Source organism: Homo sapiens, chromosome 1, assembly GCF_000001405.40.
Source record: "Homo sapiens chromosome 1, GRCh38.p14 Primary Assembly".
Lineage (NCBI taxonomy): Eukaryota > Metazoa > Chordata > Mammalia > Primates > Hominidae > Homo > Homo sapiens.
In genome coordinates, this window is record NC_000001.11 from 231925044 (window position 1) to 231946208 (window position 21165).

The following is a 21165-nucleotide window of genomic DNA, read 5'->3' on the forward strand; positions in this document are numbered from 1 at the left end:
GCACTGGGTGTGGCAAGGTGATTCTGCACTTAGAGGTTCGTGTTTATGGTGCTACTGAGGGACTGAAGAATTCATCTGGAAACTTTTGGCTGCTCCCCTATCCTCTTCTTGCTAAATCAGAATGGCATACAGTTAAAAATACGGGCCCCAACCCGAACACAGGATTTCAAGGCTTGCTCACTGCTTGCATGATCTTAGAAAGTCACATCTGACTCCAAACCTTCGTTTCTTCATCTGAAAAACGGTGACGATGATGACAGAACTACCACCTGCATGGTGATGCTGTGCACTCAGGAAGGTTTTAGAACCACTAGAGTGGACTGGGGCTGGAATGGCTTCTGTCACAGAATTCAGAGTTCCCTTGTACTGCAGAGAGTCAAGTGCAGCTGAATGGCTGCTACCAGGGATATTACCCAGATGTTCACAGGTCATGAAAGTGTGGGACAAGATGACCTCAGAGCTTCCCCTCCACTGGTGACAACACATGTAACATGCCTCCTATTAAGCCTGTAATGGGGTAAATTGTATCCCCACCAATGATAAGTCCAAATCCTAACCCCTGATACCTGTGAATGTGACCATTCTTGGATTATAAGATCTTTGCAGATTTATGGATCTTGAGATAAGATCATCCTTGATTTAGGATGGGCCCTGAAATCCAATGATTAGTATTTTTTATGAGAAAGGAGTGGGAGATATGAGACACAGACACACAGAGGGGAATGACATATGAAGATGGAGGCGGAGACAGTAGTGAGGCATCTCAAGCCAAGGCATGCTACGGGTTGCTGACAACCACCAGAAGCTGGGAGAGAGGCACGGAAAAGATTCTCCCTCAGAGCCTCAGAAGGAACCCACTGGACTAACACCTTGACTTTGGATTTCTGGCTGCTGGGACAATGACGGAGTAAGTTTCTGTAGTTTTAAGCCACCCAGTTTTCGATACTTTGTCATAGCAGCATTAGGCAACTAATTCCATATCTCACCCATAATAAACACTCAGTGCTAGCAATTGGCTGCCACTGTGGTGATTATCAGCATGGAACTATGTGTTCCTGAAGAGAATTAGTTATTCCATTTCTATGAATATTTTCAACCCAAGATTGTTGCTCTCAGTTAACGTACTGAAAATGAACTTGGTGAAAAAGTAAAAGCTCTTCTACATATCCCATTTGTGGATAGACTTAAGAGAACAGAAAGCTTATTATGGAATAAGCAAATTAATACCTTTGGGATCAATAGAGTGTCTACAGTTCAAAACCCTATCAAAAGTGGGTTTACGTAAAAAAAACTAGTGTGTTATCCATGTGTAATATTTTGTATAATATACAAAATTCTGGAAAGGAAGACTCACAATGCCAGATCAAGTATTGCAACGTCAGTTATGGCAGGAACAAAGGCTCTTCCCAGAAGCCTGTCTTCATTGTGCATTCTTTCACCAGAACAACTTGCTGTACTTAAGGCACAGGACATTTGGATCTAGAGATGTAGCTGTTGTGACTCACCATTTCTATAAACTTGGTGACTGGTCCCAGGCTGTCATATCTGTACCTGATCCACTACAGGGATGAATTGACATTTTCAGTGGCTACTTTGAGTCCAGATATTAATAGATCAGCCTGAAAGGGAGGATGAGGCAGTAATAGCACTTTTACAAGCAATAGAAGACAAGCTCAGGGAACAAAAGAGAAGGGAAGCTCCTTGAATTTAAAGGCAAGGGCAGAGATTTATTCCTCCACTAAATCTAAGGACTAAAAGCTTAGGTGGAGAGAGGGCTCAAATGTGAATTCACTTCTCATGCTCCCTTTGTGACCTCCTTTAAGGAAGGCCAGATTTGAGGAATGAGATTTTCCCAAGGGGAGGAAGCATTGTCTTCATCACTTCATGTATTTTTCTCAGAAGGCTATTGGCCTCCTGGAATTTTTACTTAGAATTCCAGATAGTCCAATGATGCTTTCTAGGTACCGTGGCTTTCACTGTGGTGAGAGTTTTGGCTGCAGTGCTTTTCTGTAACCCACTCACAAAGCCTTTGGGGATGGTGATAGTATAGGGATTGTCCTTCCAACTAGTTGCTCTCCAACTAGAAAGGCGAATCCCTTTTTCTTTGAGTCACAGAGGATGGAGAGGCTCAGCATTCTCATTCCCTGTTTGGGTTTCCACCCCTGTGGCCATGCAATTTCCATTTATAGCCATGTATTGGCTTACAAGCCTAACACCAATCCTGACCCAAAGCATGAGGCACTCTCACACATTTCTAGGTTAAGAACACTAAAAAGCAGGATCATCAGGTTATTTTTTGTTATTTGTAGATTTCTGCATAGCCTGATGCTTCAACTTCCCAAGACCTCATTTCTTCCCAGAGTAGCTGGAGTAGCTGGACCTTTATCATGTTCTGGTATCAAATTCTGCCTTGGTAATGTGTACAATGCTTCAAGAATTGCGGACTCCATATTACTCTCCTGTGTCATGTAGTTCTCTCTTTGTGAAAGCCATCCTTCCCTGAAACCCCTCATCCACCTGCCTACCTTGCCAACATTCCCTGCTCCTGGGTTGCCCTTCATTGTGTTCTATTTATGGGTAACCATGCTTTGCCAGGAACCATGCCAAGTACTTGGAATACGAAGGAAGTCATTGATGGAGAGGACACACAAGTAAGTAAAGGGCCCTGATAAAATGCGACGAGAGCTAGGCACGTGGATTTTTATGCAACAAAGGAGATAGGCAAGGAGCCCACGAACTAGTTTCCAAATGCTGGACCCCCTTGATCAGGACCTTTTCGGAGCAGGCTCAAGTGTCTCCCAACACCTATACCTGGCTGGACCCCTTGCCATTGTCTCACCACAAGTTGATGCTATAGTTCCAGAGGGCTGCCCCGCCAGGCCACTCTGTCTTTTGCAATTCCAGGGTGGGATGTGCATTGTCTACTTGGACCTAGGAACTCCCTTCAGCAGTTCTCCTGTGGACCTGTATCCAAGCCACCCTACAAAGTGAGCATGCACTCTGATTTAGGAAACTTTTCTTGAGAGATTTATTCTATAGTCTCCCTAACATCCCATTCTGGTGTTTATTCCATTAATTTAGAGCAAACACCCATTCAGTGAAGGGCCCTGAAAGGCATAGAAAAGGACAAAGTATCAGACTTGATTTCTGCTCTCAGCTATTAAAACTGGAGAGGCAAGGCACATAGAAAGATAGGGATGACATGATATTTAAACAAATGTTCTACACAGTGTTTCTCAATATAATGTTCTTGTCCTGTTGGGGGGCTTTTCAGTAAGCAGTGTCAGTGAAAGGGCAGTGACAGCAGGAGATGATTTTTGGTTATTTTCTGCATAGGCATCCTCAGTATGGAAGGCTGTGCCCACCTACGTTTGAAATGTGCAAGCTTGATTCTTCTCTCTTTTCTTCTTTATTAGTCTAGCTAGCGGTCTATCTATTTTGTTAATCTTTTCAAAAAACCAGCTCCTGGACTCATTGATTTTTTTGAAGGGTTTTTCGTGTCTCTTATCTCCTTCAGTTCTGCTCTGATCTTATTTACTTCTCGTCCTCTGCTAACTTTTGAATTTATTTGCTCTTGCTTCTCTAGTCCTTTTTATTTTGATGTTAGGGTGTCGATTTGAGATCTTTCCCACTTTGTCCTGTGGGCATTTAGTGCTATAAATTTCCTTCTAAACACTGCTTCAGCTGTGTCCCAGGGATTCTACAATGTTGTGACTTTGTTCTCATTGGTTTCAAAGAACTTATTTATTCCTGCCTTAATTTTGTTATTTACCCAGTAATCATACAGGACCAGGTTGTTCAGTTTCCATGTAGTTGTGCGGTTTTGAGTGAGTTTCTTAATCCTGAGTTCTAATTTGATTGCACTGTGGTCTGAGAGACAGTTTGTTATGATTTCCGTTCTTTTGCATTTGCTGAGGAGTGTTTTACTTCCAATTATGTGGTCAATTTTAGAATAAGTGCGATGTGGTGCTGAGAAGAATGTATATTCTGTGGATTTGGGGTGGAGAGTTCTGTAGATGTCTATTGCGTCTGCTTGGTCCAGAGCTGAGTTGAAGTCCTGAATATCCTTGTTAATTTTCTGTCTTGTTGATCTGTCTAATATTGACGGTGGGATGTTAAAATCTCCCACTATTGTTGTGTGGGAGCCTAAGTCTCTTTGTAGGTCTCTAAGAACTTGCTTTATGAATCTGGGTGCTCCTGTATTGGGTGCAGATATATTTAGGATAGTTAGCTCTTCATGGAGGCAACCTCAAGTAGCATTATTGTTCTTTTCATCCTTCCTCTCCTACTCACCTCCCCCACTCCTGACAAAATATGGAAATCCTGTCCCTGAGTAGTCTTGTTCACAATACACAATCTCACAGCCAAAGGAATGTATTTTTAACCCTGAGACGCCGAAAACGGCTTGAATCATTCATGCTGTCGTCTATTAGTCTGCCGCTGTGCTGTTATTTTTCCCAGGCTTAATGAGCCCTCATGGCACTGCGCTGCCTCAGAGCACGGCCGCAGCTTCAAGCACAGACAAGCCTGCTCTTTAAATATGCAAGTCATCAGCCTTTCTTGGAAAATGCTATGGGGAAGGTGCTCTGGACAAGCAAACAGATGATTTTTGCAGACTGTTCTGTAGTTAATTTGGGTCATGAAGCCCACTGTGGCTCAAGGAGTTTAGGGGACAGAAAAGGGGCTTTTGAAGGATTAACAACCAGATAGGAAGAAAGAAACAAATGAAGGGTAATCCTGGTTTTCTTTTGAGACTGACAAGAAAAAGTTGTTTGAAAGGAGGACACTCCACCATTGTTGTTGTTGAAGGAGAGCTGTACTTCTGATGTCCCCCAGGCTTTGTAGTAGTTAAGGGGTGAGGGATTGCAGGAGCTGCTCAAACCTGGCTGCTAATATGACACTAGGAGCCTGGGTGACACAGGGGCCATGGTGCCAGCTGCAGGTAGCGTGGGATTGACCCTGTTAGCCCTGGACATCAAGCCTGGAGTGAGAGATGGCCCGAAAACCCCTGGGACCTGATACAAGCAAGGGCTTTGGGATCAACCAGGCTCTCACTAACAGGCATCACTCAAAAAGAAAAGCATTTATTTAATAGAGAGTTTCAGAAAATGTTCCCCTTATTATTTTTCTTTGATTTTTGAATTGGAAGGCGCTTAGAGATCCTGTCCTTTAACCCTTGCGTTGTGCAGATGAGAGATGTGAGGTCAGGGAAGTTTAGTGGGCTCAGGGACGCACACGGAGTTCACAGGGTAGCCCGATGCAGTGGGAGGGTCGATGGGCTTCTGCCTCAGAGTTCTTTTCACCCTAACATTTCCTGTGCATTTGTTTACGTGTGCCAGGGATCGCTCTAAGTGCTTTGTACACATTAAACTTATCTAATCTTTACCCTAACTGTGAGAGGTGGCTGCCATCATTTTTATTTAATTTCACTTTGCATTAAATGATGTTGGCACAGTGATGTTAAGTCTGTTGCCCACAGTCTCCTGCCTGGAAGTGACAGTCAGGATTCAAGCCAGGCAGTGGGAGCCTCTGGAGCAGCCCTCCAAACCTCTACCCCATATGGCTCACATAGCCTCTAAAAAGGGTTTTGTGACTGATCTGAGATCCTAACCATTATCTATGACTTCATATTCCTGAGCAGGGGGCAGCTGGGGAAGCATTTCAAGATACTCAAGGACAAAGCACCCATCAACATAGATGGGTGCAAACTCAATGCTATCTAGTTCGCTGCAGCTGTTTGGCTAAAGGAAAACAGAATACCTGCAGAGCTGATGGCTTGGAGACTAGATGTACAAGATTACAAGCCAGATGCAAGTCTAGTTTCTGGGGTCCATCTGTGAGCAGAGGTGTGGGTGGAGGCCCAGAAGCCAGGCTACCATTTGGGATTGACTCTTAGCTCCTTACATGCACTTAAGCAGCCATTCATGACCTTTTCTGCAGCTCAACTGATACACTCAAGGCTGGGCATGTCCTTCTGTTCTAGTCATTCTGCTTTTGGTCCACTTCTATATGTTTGTTACCAAACTAGACATTGTCTTCAAGACCCACTCTGGCCAAGTCCTGGGGTCATGTTTAGTCCTGGAAGGACCTCCAGGAGATGGAGGTAGTTCTTAGTTGACCAGAGGGGAGCAGGACCACCTGTGCTTTAAGGTCATCCTGATTTCCTGGTGGTCGTTAATACGAAAGAAGCTACACCAGGCTTGACTTCTCTGAGTCAGTGGTGTTCAGAGCCCTTGACTCACCCTGGACCTGGGCTTGGCAGGAATTTCTCTAACCTTAGGTGGATGTATGGGTGAGTCTGCACAGCAACTTACTGTTCTGGTGCATTTGTGTTGGCATGCCCATGTACCGGGAGATGCCCTAGGGACTTACTTATGACATACTGACCTAGAGAGGGTTTGCGTATAAAATTTTAACTTGACTCACTGGTTCCTGGCAGGGTCAATAAATATTTGTGGACTCACTGAGTGAATGAGTGAGTGAATGAATGAACCAGTCTGCTAAGAAGTGTGAGCACAGAATATGTGTGCTGTTCTGACACATGATGACCCTATCATCCTTTGAGGACCTACCATATAGCTCAGTTTTGACACTGCTTGTGATTTTTTTTTTTTTTTGTCTTTGAGACAGGGTCTCACTCTATCACCCAGGCTGGAGTGGAGTGGCATAGTCATAACTCACTGCAGCCTTAAACTCTTTGACTCAAGTGGTCCTCCTGCCTCAGCTTCCTGAGTACTTGGGACCAGAGGCGTGTGCTACCATGCCAGATAATTAAAAAAAATTTTTTTTTTATAGACAAGGTCTCACTGTGTTGCCCAGGGTGGTCTTGAACTCCTGACCTCAAGCAATCCTCCTGTCTTGGCCTCTGAAAGTGCTGGTTTTACAAGTGTGAGCCACCAACCCCTGGTCCCACCTGTGATATTTTTCACCAGCTCATGGCCGTGGGGAGCCCGACTATTTGCATACGTGTTTTTTGCTCAGTACTGACACCTGGTGGCAGTGTCCCAAATTGCAAGCACAGTCTCTAGCATTAACTCAGTGTCAGGACTTTGGTGTGGCGGACCATAAGAATGGGAGCCTCTGGAGTTATGCAGAGAGAAGTAGCCCTACCAGGGAAGATGTAATCTTGCAAAATAACCTACCTAATGACAATGAGTCTCTTGTCTTTTCTTAGGGCTGCATAATCAGCACCACCTGATTTAGTGGTAAGAGGAAAGGTGCTAGTGGGAAATGCCATTATTTAAAAATACCTGGAGACTACTGATCTAGTTTAAGACCAATATTTGTCCCACATTTGATATTAGAACCAATAGAATGATAGAAGTAATAGCTATGGTACTATTAATAGCTCCTATTGAGGACCTGTGAACACACTGCTGGACCCTGTATATTTAGTATTTCTAATCCTCATGATAACCTAACACATAGGGATTATTATTTCCATTTTACAAATTAGGAAATGGAGCTTTGGTTTAGTAACATGCCTGAGTTCATGGTAGGGGCTGGATTTGAATCTCAATTTGCTTGACCTCAAAGGCTATGCTCTTTCACTCTGCTTCAAGGGTACTGTGTTACTCCAGGGGTGCCATTCACATTCTAGTCAGTGTACATGGCATTTCTGGGGTTGTGTGACTTGTAGCCATCCTCTTTCCATCATTCCCACTGCCTCTCCAGGAGCCAATCATTTATGTCTCTTCTAAGCTCAGTGGGTGACTGAGGCTGTGAAGACATTTAAAATTGAATAATGTATCCTGTAGTAGATGCATTGACTATTTCTCTAGAGTTGGCATCCTAAAATTCAAAATTTTTGGTCTGGCAGCCTGTGAAAAAAATCGTATTTTGCCTCTAATTCTCAACCCTGGAGAGCGCCAATTAGTTGTGAAGTTACTTTCAAACTGAAGCCCAATTTATACTCCTAATAAAAACATCCAATGTAATCATATGTGAAATGGAGGCTAATGGCCCTATACCACCCGAGCATCACCATAGTGATGGTGTTGAGGATAAAAATGATGACAATGACAACAGCAGCGATGATAATAGTTAACCATTGTCGAGTACCCATTATTTCCTTGACTCCTTATAGACACTCTGTGAGGGAAGTAATAGTATTGTCCCAATTTTCAGAGGAGGAAATGAGGTGTAGAGATGCTAGTTATCTTACCCAAGCTCAGTTGACTGTGCTGGTAAGTTGTGAAGTTAACCTAGGTTAGCCTGAGTTCACAGGCTATGCTAGATTAACTTCAGCTAGCCTTGCTTTTAACCACCTACACTGACAGCCTTTCAATTGTAAGAGGAGCTTTGGGTTTTTGCTTTGAAAGTAGAAACAAGTATCTAGTGATAATAATATGCCTAATAATTATCCTGCACAAAATAAATAATCCAGCCACTTATCACCACCTCTAAGGCACCTTCTCATCCTGTCGTTTTAAGGTTTTGTTCTTTTGGTTCTGTCCCCAGCCAGGTTTTCTTTTCCCTCCACATGCCTGGTGTGGTGTGAGTAAAGCATCTGCCATTTTGATTATGGCACACTTGCTACCTCTTCTTAAAACATTCGTTCTCATCCCTAGTATTGTGACATTCTATCATATCTCTGATTTTTAAAAGGACATTGGTGAATTTCCAGAAAAAAAATTTTCCAACCTCCTTTTAACCTGGCATCTTTTAAAATTAAATATGTCTCTCCAAACATATTGGTGGGGAAGAGTTGGTGTCATGAGTTAAGTAGGGGTATAATTACAACCCGAAAGTTTGGGGGCAAAATGGAGCAGTTCCCTCATTGGTCAGAGTTCTGTCATTGGCCCAGCCTCCTGTCCTCCACAAATCTGAGTCAGGGTGAGACACCAAGAGCCTCCCTTGAGACCGGCACTACTTGGAAACATGACTGGCTATTTCTGCTGCAGGATTCCTGGTCCGGGCTCCAGCAAAATTATTGTTGTGAACATAGGCCTTGAAGAGGAGGCTGAAGCCGAGAAGCCAATATTCACTCACCTTTTCAACCTTCGACAAGGCTGAAATTTCTCCCATGATATCACTGGAAGGAAGGGCAGAGGGAGTCAACAATGAAGAAAGTGGGAAGAGGGAGGGAGAATCCAGGCAGGAAAAGGGGGGTGACCGTGCAGCAATAGCTGTGAGGGCTTCCCAGCAGCGTTAGACACACCCTTTGCTTCAGGGTCGCCATCTCTGTCTGCATCTCCTTCCTCTCCTTTTGACCCAGCGTCCACTTCTACTTTGGTTAGTTAAATATTGAAATAAACTCCTTTACAATGTGTGGAAGTCTCAGCTCCTCAGCATTGTATCTTATGGGAATAGTTACTCTTCAGCCTCCGTGTGTATCCAGGGCGTGGAGGCCATGCTGTGGGGACTGTGTGTTAATGTCCTTGTAGCTCAAGAACAGCTGCTCTTAAATGGTCCGTGCTGCGGTTTAGTGGACACAACATAGCACAGATAAGTGAAGAAACAAGTCATTTTTAAGTGACGCAAATCACAGTAGAAATATGCAACTTATGGAAGTGAAATCCTTTTAGTATTAATTTTTCTTAAATAGCAATCCTTTGTAGTTGTAAGATATGTAACGTATATATTGTTACCTAGTTGGATGAAAAACAGCTAAATCAATGATTGTTAGGTTTCTTAGGTGAATGATCTGTTTAATAAAATTATTGGAAATGCATATTCTTTATTTTGATCAGGTGGACAAATTGTTCCATTTCATAGTTACACCCTGACTTCCATTTCTGAAGAGATAACCCAAAGGTTACTGGTGGTGATGGAGGGCATCCCAGTCCTCCCCTCATTTGAGGGGCAGAGCTTAATTCTGGATTGTGCTTCCTCCACTGGAGTTGATTTAGAGAGCGGTTTGGTGAAAACCGAAGAAAGGGTTTATCTCAGAGCCTCCTGCTCTTGTTTGAACACGCTGCAGGGATTAACTTGTGGTTGGGACTGAGCCAGAGAGATAAATGACATAGCCCTTGTGTGCTCACATTCAGAGGGAGCTCTTGCCAAATGGGACAACGAAGGATTGTGTTAAAGAGATTTCTGAACATCTTAATACAGCAGGATGATACAGTCTGCTCTCTGGACTTTCTGGGGAGCACTGAGCCAAGCCTCAGAGGACTGTGGCATGTCGTGAGTGTTTAATATGCAAGTGACATCTAACAGGGGAAAACAAGACATTTGGAAACACCATTGGGTGGGGTGGGTCCCCCGCATTTTTCAGCACGGATTTTTTCCAACAATCTCATATATACAAAGGAAGTAAATTCACAAAAGATTGGGTGTTGGGGGCGTGGGGCGTGGTGAGGAAGGAGGAAAGCACTAAATTTTATTAGAGTGCTTCTCAAAATTGAGAGACTGAAATTTCCAAAGCAGGAAAGATTACACTGAAAGTTGGGAATGTCTTACAAATGTACATATTGTCCTCTACGCGTGATATAAAATTGTTCAGCAATAGATATTTCAGGAAACGTAATCAGTGTAAACCCTTTGATGAGGAAAGCCATGCAAACATTTTTAAACAATTGCATCCTTATGTAATCCTGGTGTTAAGGGGTGGGCTTAAAAAGCCAATTCGGTGAGTAGAGGGACTCGTACCTTATACAGGGTTTGGCGTCTAAAGCTAACACCTAAGGCATAAATTAAGCACATTTACAATTGCCCTTGAAAATTCCTTAAGTTGCCCATAAAGTACACAAGGTTTTGTGTGTTTGGGTCTTTTCAGTAATATAAATGTGGACGTGCACAATGGACAACACTTAATAGAACACACATGCAAAATAGAATTTTCCAGAATTTTTATTGCACAAAACATTCACATAGAGTGCACCTGGTTGAACGTATGGAAGTTACATGCGCATGTGGTATGACTGCAGTTGTGGATAGACCTTTTTACTGCGTCCTCCTCTCTAGCACCTAAGTGGTTCCTGTATTCTTCCCAACGTAATTAAACTGCAGGAGGAAACTGGCCATTCCAGGTTTAGACAGCTGCCCCTTTGAAAGAGAGGAAAGTGTGTCCATGCTGGGGAGAGGCAGCTGCAGGAAACGTCCTGAGCTTGTGAAAGTCTGACCCCAGGAACCACCCTGAGCTGACCTCCCAACATTCTGGTTCCTACTCCTCAGGCTCAGACCCTGGTTGGTTCACGGCCCTGGGGTCATCTACACCTCTTTGGCCTTGACCTTGGACATTCGGCCCAGCCACCTTCCACTCCACTTTTTTTTCTCATAGATTCACCGTTTTCATCCTGCCCATATTCTCCCAGCATCCAGCCAATACCTAGTTTTCCCAGCATCTAGCCCCAGTTCCTAGTTCTGCTGCCCCTGCTCTAGGCTGGTCAGTTATATAGCGTTGCTTCCCTGCAGGTGAGGTGGCATGTGACAGGGTAGGGTAGGTCTGACACCCCTGCACTCTCTCTACCCACACCGTGAAAAATAGTGAGACAACAGCATTGCATTCTTCATTTTGAAAGAGGTTTGAATGTTTTTATTTGTGGAAGGTAGATGTCATGAAGAGTTGCATAATTAAACTAGTACAGAGGAAAAACTGGCAGAGAAGTGAGTTGCAGGGCTAGGTTTACATACAGGATGACAAACCTGTCTCTAAAGATCCCGGGAACTGTTGTCACATGGTGACAGCTTATGATGGTGGCTGAGGACACTGCTCTTTACCTTTGTGTCTCTTGTCTCGTCTCTGAATCTCAATACCTGTAATTAAGAAGGAGCCCATAGGAGTTTTATCCATCTTATTTTCAGATATTTAAGCAGAATAAATATATTTTCACAATCCTTTGAAACTCTCTTCCTTCTTAAACCTTAATGAGATTCCAAGGTAGCAACAAAGGCCTTTCTGATATTACCTGTACAATCAAAAACTGAGCTTGAACTTCCTATAATTTCTTCTTTTTGGTCAAAGGAGTCACCCTCCAACTGACATATTTATAACATGTCCCTGTGATAACGAGAAACTACTCACTTATCTCTGAGTCTCATGACAGAAAGAGTATCAGAAAAAAAGATACTACAATCCTTCAAACACACAGCAGTGTGAGACAAAAATTACACTCTAATCTGCAGTTGAACAGGTTCTGTCTTCCATTAAACCTGTATCCCCATTTTATTATATAGTTGAGCCAGTTATATATGACTCACTGGGAAAGTGCATTTTATGATCTTGTTAGAAGAAATGGTTTCTCTGGGATCCTTTTAAGCCAATAATTTTATACCTAGCTCCTCCTAAATATCTAGGACATTAACTTATTAGCCATTCCGGTGTCAAGCCTAATGCTTTTTAAATACTTAAAACAAATACCAGGAAACTGTGGGGGTTGGAGAATAGATTTTCCATAGGCATTTAGTGCTTTCAGAGATCAGGGGGATCGATCTCAGGGGATTTAGTAGGAAAAGACTTGATTCTCTGCTTCCTCTGCACACAGAGCTTTCATTTTATGCAACAGGAGGGACAGCATGCATGTGGGATAAAGCCAGGCTGATTATTTCAAAACCAGGCTCACATCTATTTGACTGACAAGGTCCTGGCCCCCGGCCAGGGTTACAGCACCGGAACATGGTCTCTTCTCTGCGGCTCTGCTGGCTGGGCCTGTGTGGAGGCGGGTGGATGGGGGGATGTCCAGGCTGCAGCTGACAGGGCACTTGGAGATCTCAGAAGGCAGTGGAGGCTTGGGGACTGAAGGGGACCCGGCTTCGATGGGGTGGGGAAGCACAGCAGCTTGGTAGGAAATGACCTGAAAGAGGGATTCCTAAACATGCATGTATGTTTGCGTGTGTGCATGAAAGCAGCTGTAGATCACAACTAATCTTTTTTTTTTTTAATTGCAAATCCCACTCAATTCTTCAAGCTTTCTTGGCAGCATCTGATCCAGTTGATGGCTTTGGAAACACTTCATTCTTCATTGGCTTCTATAGACATCTCCTCCCGGGGGTTCTTGGCTTCCCTGACCACTCCATCTCTGTTCTCTTTACTGGTCCTTCCTTCTCATCCGTCATTTTAAGGTTTTGTTCTTTTGGTTCTGTCCCCAGCTGGGTTTTCTTTTCCCTCCACATGCCTGATGTGGTAGGCAGAATAATGACCCTCCCAAGGATGTCCATGCCCTTATCCCCAGAACCCGGTGAAGATGGATGTTACAAGGCTAAAGGGATTTTGCAGAAGTGAGGAAGGTTATGGATCCCAAGGTGGGGAGAGCATCCTGGTTTATCCAGATGGGCCCAATCTAATCACATGAGCCCGTACAAGTGGAAGACTTTCTCAGGCTGGGCACAGGAGGAGCCATGAGGCAGAGGGAGTGACAGTGAGGTTTGAAGTGTGAGAAGTGCTGGATGACATGCCACTGCAGGCTTTGGAGGTGAAGGGGGGCCCATGAGGCAGGGCAAGTGGGCAGCCTCTGAAGCTGACAGCACACAAGAAGAGGAGGACCTCAGCCTAGGGCCACAGGAAACTGGATTCTGCCAACAACCTGACCAAGTTCAGAAATGTCTTGAATCCCAGAGCCTCCAGAAGAGAACATAGCCCTGCGTTCACCATGGTTTCAACCTGTGAGACTGAGCAGAGAGCCAGCCGAGTCCTTCTGTGTTGGACCTCTGACCTACAGAACCATGAAACCAATCATTCGTGTTGTTTTAATCTGCTAAATGTGTGGCAATGCAGTACCACAGCGATAAAACCAATCCACCCACCACCAATGGTCTTATGATTCTAATAGCTTCAATTAATCCTATAAACTGACAGCCGGTCCCTATTCCCCATTCTGCTGAATCCCAAAGCCTCACGACTTTCTTCTGTTAGGCAACTCTGCTTGGCTGTGTTAAAAACACATCTAACCCTACATGTTAGAAACTCTGCCAGCTGACAAAACCAGAAACCTTGAGTCAGTCTGGATTCTTTCCTCTCTGTTTTATTCATTGTGTAATCTCAACTCCATCAGGTCTTGGTTGAAATGTCAGCATCTCAAATGGGTCGCCTCCGACCACCCAATTTAAGATGACAGCCCCCCTCCTACACGTAATCGTCCTTTATGCTTATCAGCATCAGTGTATTGTATGTTTACTTACCACTTTGCTTATTATTAGCTGTCTTCCCTCTTGGAATGTCAGCACATATGTGTTTTATTGTATTAATTCTATTTAATAAGTAGTAATAGAGTGGTTTCCAAGTGTCAGGAACTGCTCTAAGCATTTTTACAAATATCCACTTATTTAATGCTGTTTTTTCACCGTCATAGCTCTAGCTGTTAGAATAGTGCCTGGCATGTAGTAGTTGCTCAATAAGTAGTTGTTGAGCGAATAAATGAATAAATGAATGACTCCAGCCTAACACGAAGTCCTGTCAATTCTATTTCCTAAATACCTTTCCTAACAACCCACCTTTCTCCATCTGTAATGAACTAAGAAAGTGGCCGTATCATTCTCCTTTGTAGGGCCCTTGAATGGCTTCCCTTTGTTTGTGGGAGAAAATCCACACTCCTGCAGGGATTCACACACGTTTCTTGTCATGCCCTCAGTTTTCTGCCTCCATCTTTATTTCTCAAAACTCCCCTCTCATCCTCTCTTGCCTTCCTTACATGCTAATCTTCAATCAGCCCGGACATTCAGTTTCCCTAATATGTCCCATCCTCCCTCTTCTTCCAAGCCCCTGAGTATGAGCTCCTTACCATTGGCATTCCTTCCTACTACCTGCCCTGTTCTCTGCTTATTCTATTTTTTTTTTTGAGATGGAGTCTTGCTCTGTCACCTAGGCTGGAGTGCAGTGGCGCGATCTCAGCTCACCGCAACCTCCGCCTCCCAGGTTCAAGCAATTCTCCTGCCTCAGCCTCCCAAGTAGCTGGAATCACAGGCACGTGCCACTGTGCCTGGCTAATTTTTGTATTTTTAGTAGAGATGGGGTTTCACCATGTTGGCCAGGCTGGTCTCAAACTCATGACCTCAGGTGATCCACCCACTTCAGCCTTCCAATGTGCTGGGATTACAGGTATGGGCCACCATGCCTGGGTTTCTCCGCTTATTCTTAATATTTTAACTCAGCTGTTTCCCTCCTCCATGACAGGACACCTCCCTCACCTCCACCTCCACTGAGAAAGTGCCTTTCCTGGTGCTCACTGCTATTCTATCTTGTCCTCTGTCCTTCCCCTCTCTCTGTGTGTGGTAAAGACTGCTTTCCCTGTGCAATTCTCTCACCAGTTTGCACGGTTCTTGAGGCCATGAGCTGGAGAGTACGATCCACTTGGGCATCAAGTGCACCAGCTGGCACCTAGCAGGGACTCAGCACATACCTGCCGAGTGAGTGAATTGGTTTCCCATGGCTTGGTGAGCCCCGGCCAGGCACTCTCCCGAGCCAAGGGGGACACTTGTTCTGCCAGTGTTGATTTGCAGGCGCAATTATATGTGTAAATGCATTTTCACTGTTCTGCCTTAGGACCCAATTTTTGAAAATTAGATTTTAAATGTCGTATTCTCCTCACTTACATCTTATGCTTCCCGACATTCAGCACATAATTTAAAATGAAAGGCATAGAAAATTGGACTCATTTAGTTTACTCCACTTGAAATCCATGTGAGTCTATTTTTAAATTCTCCTAGACCCTGTGCTCTTTTAGGGTGTATTTGAGAGGAAGGAAGGGGGTGGGGGAGAAAGGAAAGAAGACACTCATTGTAAGCTGTTAGAGATGCTGCGTGTTATTGCACTTTGTTTTAATACATGCAGTTTTCACATTAGCATTACCCCAAATACAATTTCTAAAGCCAAAGACTGAAATTGAGACTCTGCCTTCAACATTTGCTGCTCCATGACGTTCTTGATTGCAATGAGAGGCTGGCTGTGGCCAGCTTGCGGGTGCATCACAGCAGGGAGCTTTAACATTCTTTCCTCTGCTTTCCAGCTGACATGTTCCTCCGGCTCTGCCACACCCATCAGATGGCAGGTGGGGAGCAGATTAAGACATGGGCATTCGCAGGGTGCACAGAACGCTGGCTTACAAACACCTCCTCTCATAGGCATGCAGGTGAACAGATGGGTGGGTGGGAGGTTCCCCTTCACCCACAGTCCTGAATCTGAGTTCTTGGGTTAGGATTTGGTATGGCAGCCTTCACATTGCACAGATATCCCTACATTGGGCTGCTCTGCATGCCTGCAATGAGAGTTTTTGGGCTTCTTGCAGGCAGGAGGTGCTGAGTATTCACACCAAAGCTTGGACATATAAGACACCAGTGACCCCTATTCTGCTAATTCATAACACTCAGCCGGCTCCCACATTCCCACTGCCTGTGCCCATCCCCGAGAGGCTTTCCTACCTTCCTTTTTCTGCTTTATAAAGCAACAGTGAGATTCCAGGAGCAAGGCCAGCAAAGCGAGGTAGGAGAGCTCATAGATAATCCAACAAACGTGTATGGAGAGCCCACCATGGGGTGCTCTCCCCATGAAACTTCAATTTTTTTTTTTTTTTTAGATGGAGTCTTGCTCTGTCACCAGGCTGGAGTGCAGTGGCGCAATCTCAGCTCACTGCAACCTCTGCCTCCTGGGTTCAAGCGATTCTCCTGCCTCAGCCTCCCGAGTAGCTGGGACTACAGGTGCACGCCACCATGCCCAGCTAATTTTTGTATTTTTAGTAGAGATGGGGTTTCACCATGTTGGCCAGGATGGTCTCGATCTCTTGACCTCGTGATCTGCCTGCCTCAGCCTCCCAAAGTGCTGGGATTACAGGCGTGAGCCACCGCGCCTGGTCTGAAACTCGAATTCTAATGGGAAAGACAAAAATAAAAAACAAAAAATATATAATTGTTAAAAGGACTGCAGAGGCACCAGTAAAGGATCAGAGAGCAAATTATCAGGGTGGCAGCCAGCCAAGAACTGTAGGGGAAAGTGCCCTCAAAGGCGGGAACATTTAAGACAAGGCTTAAAGGATAAGCAAGCTGCCCCCACAGGGAGGGAGCAGAGCGTGCCAGACAGAGGATGGGGAAAGAGCTCCTGCAGTGGAGATGAGAAAACCAGACGTGTGATCTGGGGGCCGGGGGACGAGGTAACCAGGGGATGAGGGAAAGAGGGAAAAAACAAGCAAGGCTGACCATGCCCCACCTGAAGGTTTTGGGAAGGATTTGGATTTTATTCAAGATCCAGGGAAAGCCAGTGCAGGTATCAAGCAGGTTTTTCTGGGATCTACTTCCAGGAAGAAGGACAAGTATAAAAAGGTGCAGGGGAGGTGTAGGCTCCTCCCCTAAGAGGGAACCTGCTGGGTGGCCCTGTAGAAGACAGCAGTCATAGTTTCCATCAGAGCTGTGCATTCAACCTTCTCTATTTCCCAGCTGTGCTGCATGGAAACAGAAAATGGCATGGCCAGGCCAGGGGCAGTGGCTCCCGCCTGTAATCCCAGCACTTTGGGAGGCCAAGGCGGGCAGATTTACTTGAGGTCAAGAGTTTGAGACCACCGTGGCTAATATGGTGAAACCCCGTCTCTACTAAAAATACAAAAATTAGCCTGGCGTGGTGTCACATGCCTGTAGTCCCAGCTACTCAGAAGGCCCATGCAGGAGAATTGCTTGGACCTGGGAGGCAGAGGTTGCAGCGAGCCGAGATTGCACCACTGCACTCCAGCCTGGGCAACAGAGTGAGACTGTCTCAAAAATAAAATAAAGTAAAATAAATAAAAAAGAAAAAAAAGAAAACGCCATGGCCAGAGGCGCCACATTTTAGCTTCAGGAAACTGTGTTGAATACTCTGAGTTGTACCAGCAGGGACACTCCCAGCCGCCCATAGGTCCTTGTGCTGAGCACCGGGCATTGCCTCCTTCCTGCTTCTACCAGGAAAATTGCTGTCTGGGAGCCTTATAACACAGACTGCTGGGGTTTGTGGGAGATCAAGGATTATGTTCCCTGTGGACTAGTTTGAAAAGGTTGAAATTCAGCCCCTTCATAATGTCATGCTCGTAGCTAAGAAGGCTTGCCTTTTTCTCTTCCTTTGTCCATTTTAGAATTAACTGTGGATATCGGTAAAAGCAGCCTCACCACTAATACATGTGGGGCTGGGGCCGTGATACAGCCCAAGGCCCCTATACTATATATCTGCATATTTTCAGAGATAAATCAGTCTAGTAAATGGCTAAATATAGCATGTTCTATTGTCCTACCTTGATGCTTTAAAATGTATTATTCAGGCATGATGAGGCCAACAGATCAGGAGACAGCTGCCATTGAAAAGAGTTTGTTACTCACAGTTCCCAAGGGCTGGGACATGCCATGCTATGCCAGGCCACATGGCGATGCACCAGCATTGGTGAGGAGGTAGAGAGAGTGAGGGGGAAGATGTGGGCAAGAGTATTGCGGTTTCTGTGAGAAGGAATGGGAAAGGCAAGACAACCAGGCTTGGGATTAGCTAGTTTGAATAACTTCCGTGGACTCTGGAGTATAGGGGGTGTCCCTAGTTATCTGATGCCAGGGGCAAAGGATAGTAGCCCAGCATGTGAGACCCTAGTACAGGAGGTGGTTGGGGGTGTGGGTTCTGGATTTCTTGGTTATCCTAGCAAGGGTGTGCTCACAGGTTAGTTGTTTACTCTTTCTAGGAATGACCCTGGGAGGAGCAGTCCCTCTAGAGTCAGCAAGGCCCCAAGATGTCAAAGCATCATAAAATACTGAAAATGAAAAAGAACATGATTGTTGACGAAGAACATGACTTGACAATATGACTTTTTTTTTTTTTTTTTGAGACAGGGTCTCGCTGTGTCACAGAAGCTGGAATGCAGTGATGCAATCTTGGCTCACTGCAACCTCCACGTCCTGGGTTCAAGCTATTCTCCTACCTCAGCTTCCTGAGTAGCTGGGACTATGGACATGTGCCACTACAGCTGGATAATTTTTGTATTTTTAGTAGAGATGGGGTTTCAGCATGTTGACCAGGCTGGTGTTGAACTCCTGACCTCAGGTAATCCACCTGCTTCGGCCTCCCAAAGTCCTGGGATTATAGGCATGAACCACCACACCCAGCCACAAATATGACTTCTTAATGATTAATGATTAGGAGACCAGGTATGAGTTTAGAATGCTTGAATTCCTTGGACTCTATATCAGAAAGCAGAGGTGCCAGAGCACTGGTCCACTGAACCCAGCCTCCAGCTCTATTTTTCTGCACATCTCTGTTTTCCCTCACCATGACTGTCTTGCAGATTTGTGCACAGACACTCCAGCATGTGTGTCTGAGTTTTGTCTACCTGCTCTGTGGTGGGGGCTTGGATGCACTGCCCAGATCCTTCTTCTGGAAGGAAGGGTCAGGTTTCTGCAGCTACTCCCAGCTGTCAGCCTTTCAGGTTTGTGGGGGCTAAAGAAAATGGCCTTGTCCAAAGTTGCATCTGGATCTGGTATCCAATCAATGCAGAGGCATAAAAGCCTTGTCCCTTGTGCTAACTCGGAAGAAGGGCTCCTTGGCTTCAGAGCTCCCTGTGGGTTGGCTGGGGCATTTGTCAGATATGCTTTGCAGCTCCGTGCAATCCTGCCTCTTCTCTGCACTTTCACAGGTGGTAAGCAGAAGAGACTCCCTAATAAGCATCCAGGGTGTTAAACTCTACCTCAGGGTCAGCTTCCTGGGGAAGCCCACCCACCACAGTCCCTTTCCACTCACTTTCCTTCCACATACCCTTAACGCAGCAAGCCCCCTGCACCCTCAGGCCTAGGAAAGCACAGACTGGCCATACTGTGCACACTCAGAAGCCTAAGCTGGCAAAGAGGCTTGCTTGAGTTTAAGAAGCGGAAGTTACAATCCTAATCTCTGATAAAATAGACTTTAAACCAACAAAGATCAAAAGAGACAAAGAAGGGCATTACATAATGGTAAAGGGATCAATGCAGCAAGAAGAGCTAACTCTCCTAAATATATCTGCACCCAATACAGGAGCACCCAGATTCAAAAAGCAAGTTCTTAGAGACCTACAAAGCGGCTTAGACTCCCACACAATAATAGTGGGAGATTTTAACACCCCACTGTCAATATTAGAAAGATCAACGAGACAGAAAATTAACAAGGATATTCAGGACTTGAACTCAGCTCTGGACTAAGCGGACCTAATAGACATCTACAGAGCTCTCCACCCCATCACAAACTTAATCCATCACATAAATACCAAATACATTCTTCTCAGCACCTCATCACACTTATTCTAAAATTGACCACATAATTGGAAGTTAAACACTCCTCAGCAAATGCAAAAGAATGGAAATCATAACAAATAGTCTCTCAGACCACAGTGCAATCAAATTAGAACTCAAGATTAAGGAACTCACTCAAAACCTCACAACTACATGGAAACTGAACAGCCTGCTCCTGAATGACTCCTGGGTACATAATGAAATGAAGGCAGAAATAAAGATGTTCTTTGAAACCAATGAGAACAAAGACACAACAAAGCAGAATCTCTGGGACACATTTAAAACAGTGTGTAGAGGGAAATTTATAGCACTAAATGTCCACAGGAGAAAGCAGGAGAGATCTAAAATTGACACCCTAGCATCAAAATTAAAAGAACTAGAGAAGCAAGAGGAAACAAATTCAAAATCTAGCCGAAGACAAGAAATAACTAAGATGAGAGCAGAACTGAAGGAGATAGAGACAAGAAAAACCTTTCAAAAAATCAATGAATCCAGGAGCTGGTTTTTTGAAAAGATCAACAAGACAGATAGACCACTAGCCAGACTAATAAAGAAGAATAGAGAGAAGAATCAAAGAGACGCAATAAAAAATGATAAAGGGGATATCACCACCTATCCCACAGAAATACAAACTACCATCAGAGAATACTATAAACACCTCTATGCAAATGAACTAGAAAATCTGGAAGAAATGGATAAATTCTTGGACACGTATACCCTCCCGTCTAAACCAGGAAGGAGTGGAATCCCTGAATAAACTAATAACAAGTTATGAAATTGAGGCAGCAATTAATAGCCTACCAACCAAAAAAAGTCCAGGACCAGATGGATTCACAGCCGAATTCTACCAGAGGTACAAAGAGGAGCTGGTACCATTCCTTCTGAAATGATTCCAAACAAGAGAAAAAGAGGGAATCCTCCCTAACTCATTTTATGAGGCCAGCATCATCCTGATACCAAAACCTGGCAGAGACACCACAAAAAAAGAAAATTTCAGGCCAATATTTCTGATGAACATAGATGTGAAAATCC

General features: G+C 44.6%; 1 protein-coding gene and 2 long non-coding RNA genes across 11 annotated transcripts in view; all 3 read left to right on the forward strand.

Moving 5' to 3' along the window:
* The window catches only part of TSNAX-DISC1 (TSNAX-DISC1 readthrough (NMD candidate)), a 512620-nt gene that overhangs the window by 396391 nt on the left and 95064 nt on the right, over positions 1-21165 (forward strand). The gene's annotated exons all lie outside the window — the stretch shown is intronic.
* Positions 1-21165, forward strand: part of DISC1 (DISC1 scaffold protein) — a 414483-nt gene that overhangs the window by 298254 nt on the left and 95064 nt on the right. The gene's annotated exons all lie outside the window — the stretch shown is intronic.
* DISC1-IT1 (DISC1 intronic transcript 1) lies at positions 791-20162 on the forward strand. Its single transcript, NR_126441.1, has 4 exons — positions 791-907; positions 15885-16007; positions 18706-18916; positions 19880-20162. It is a non-coding gene; the product is annotated as a DISC1 intronic transcript 1 (long non-coding RNA).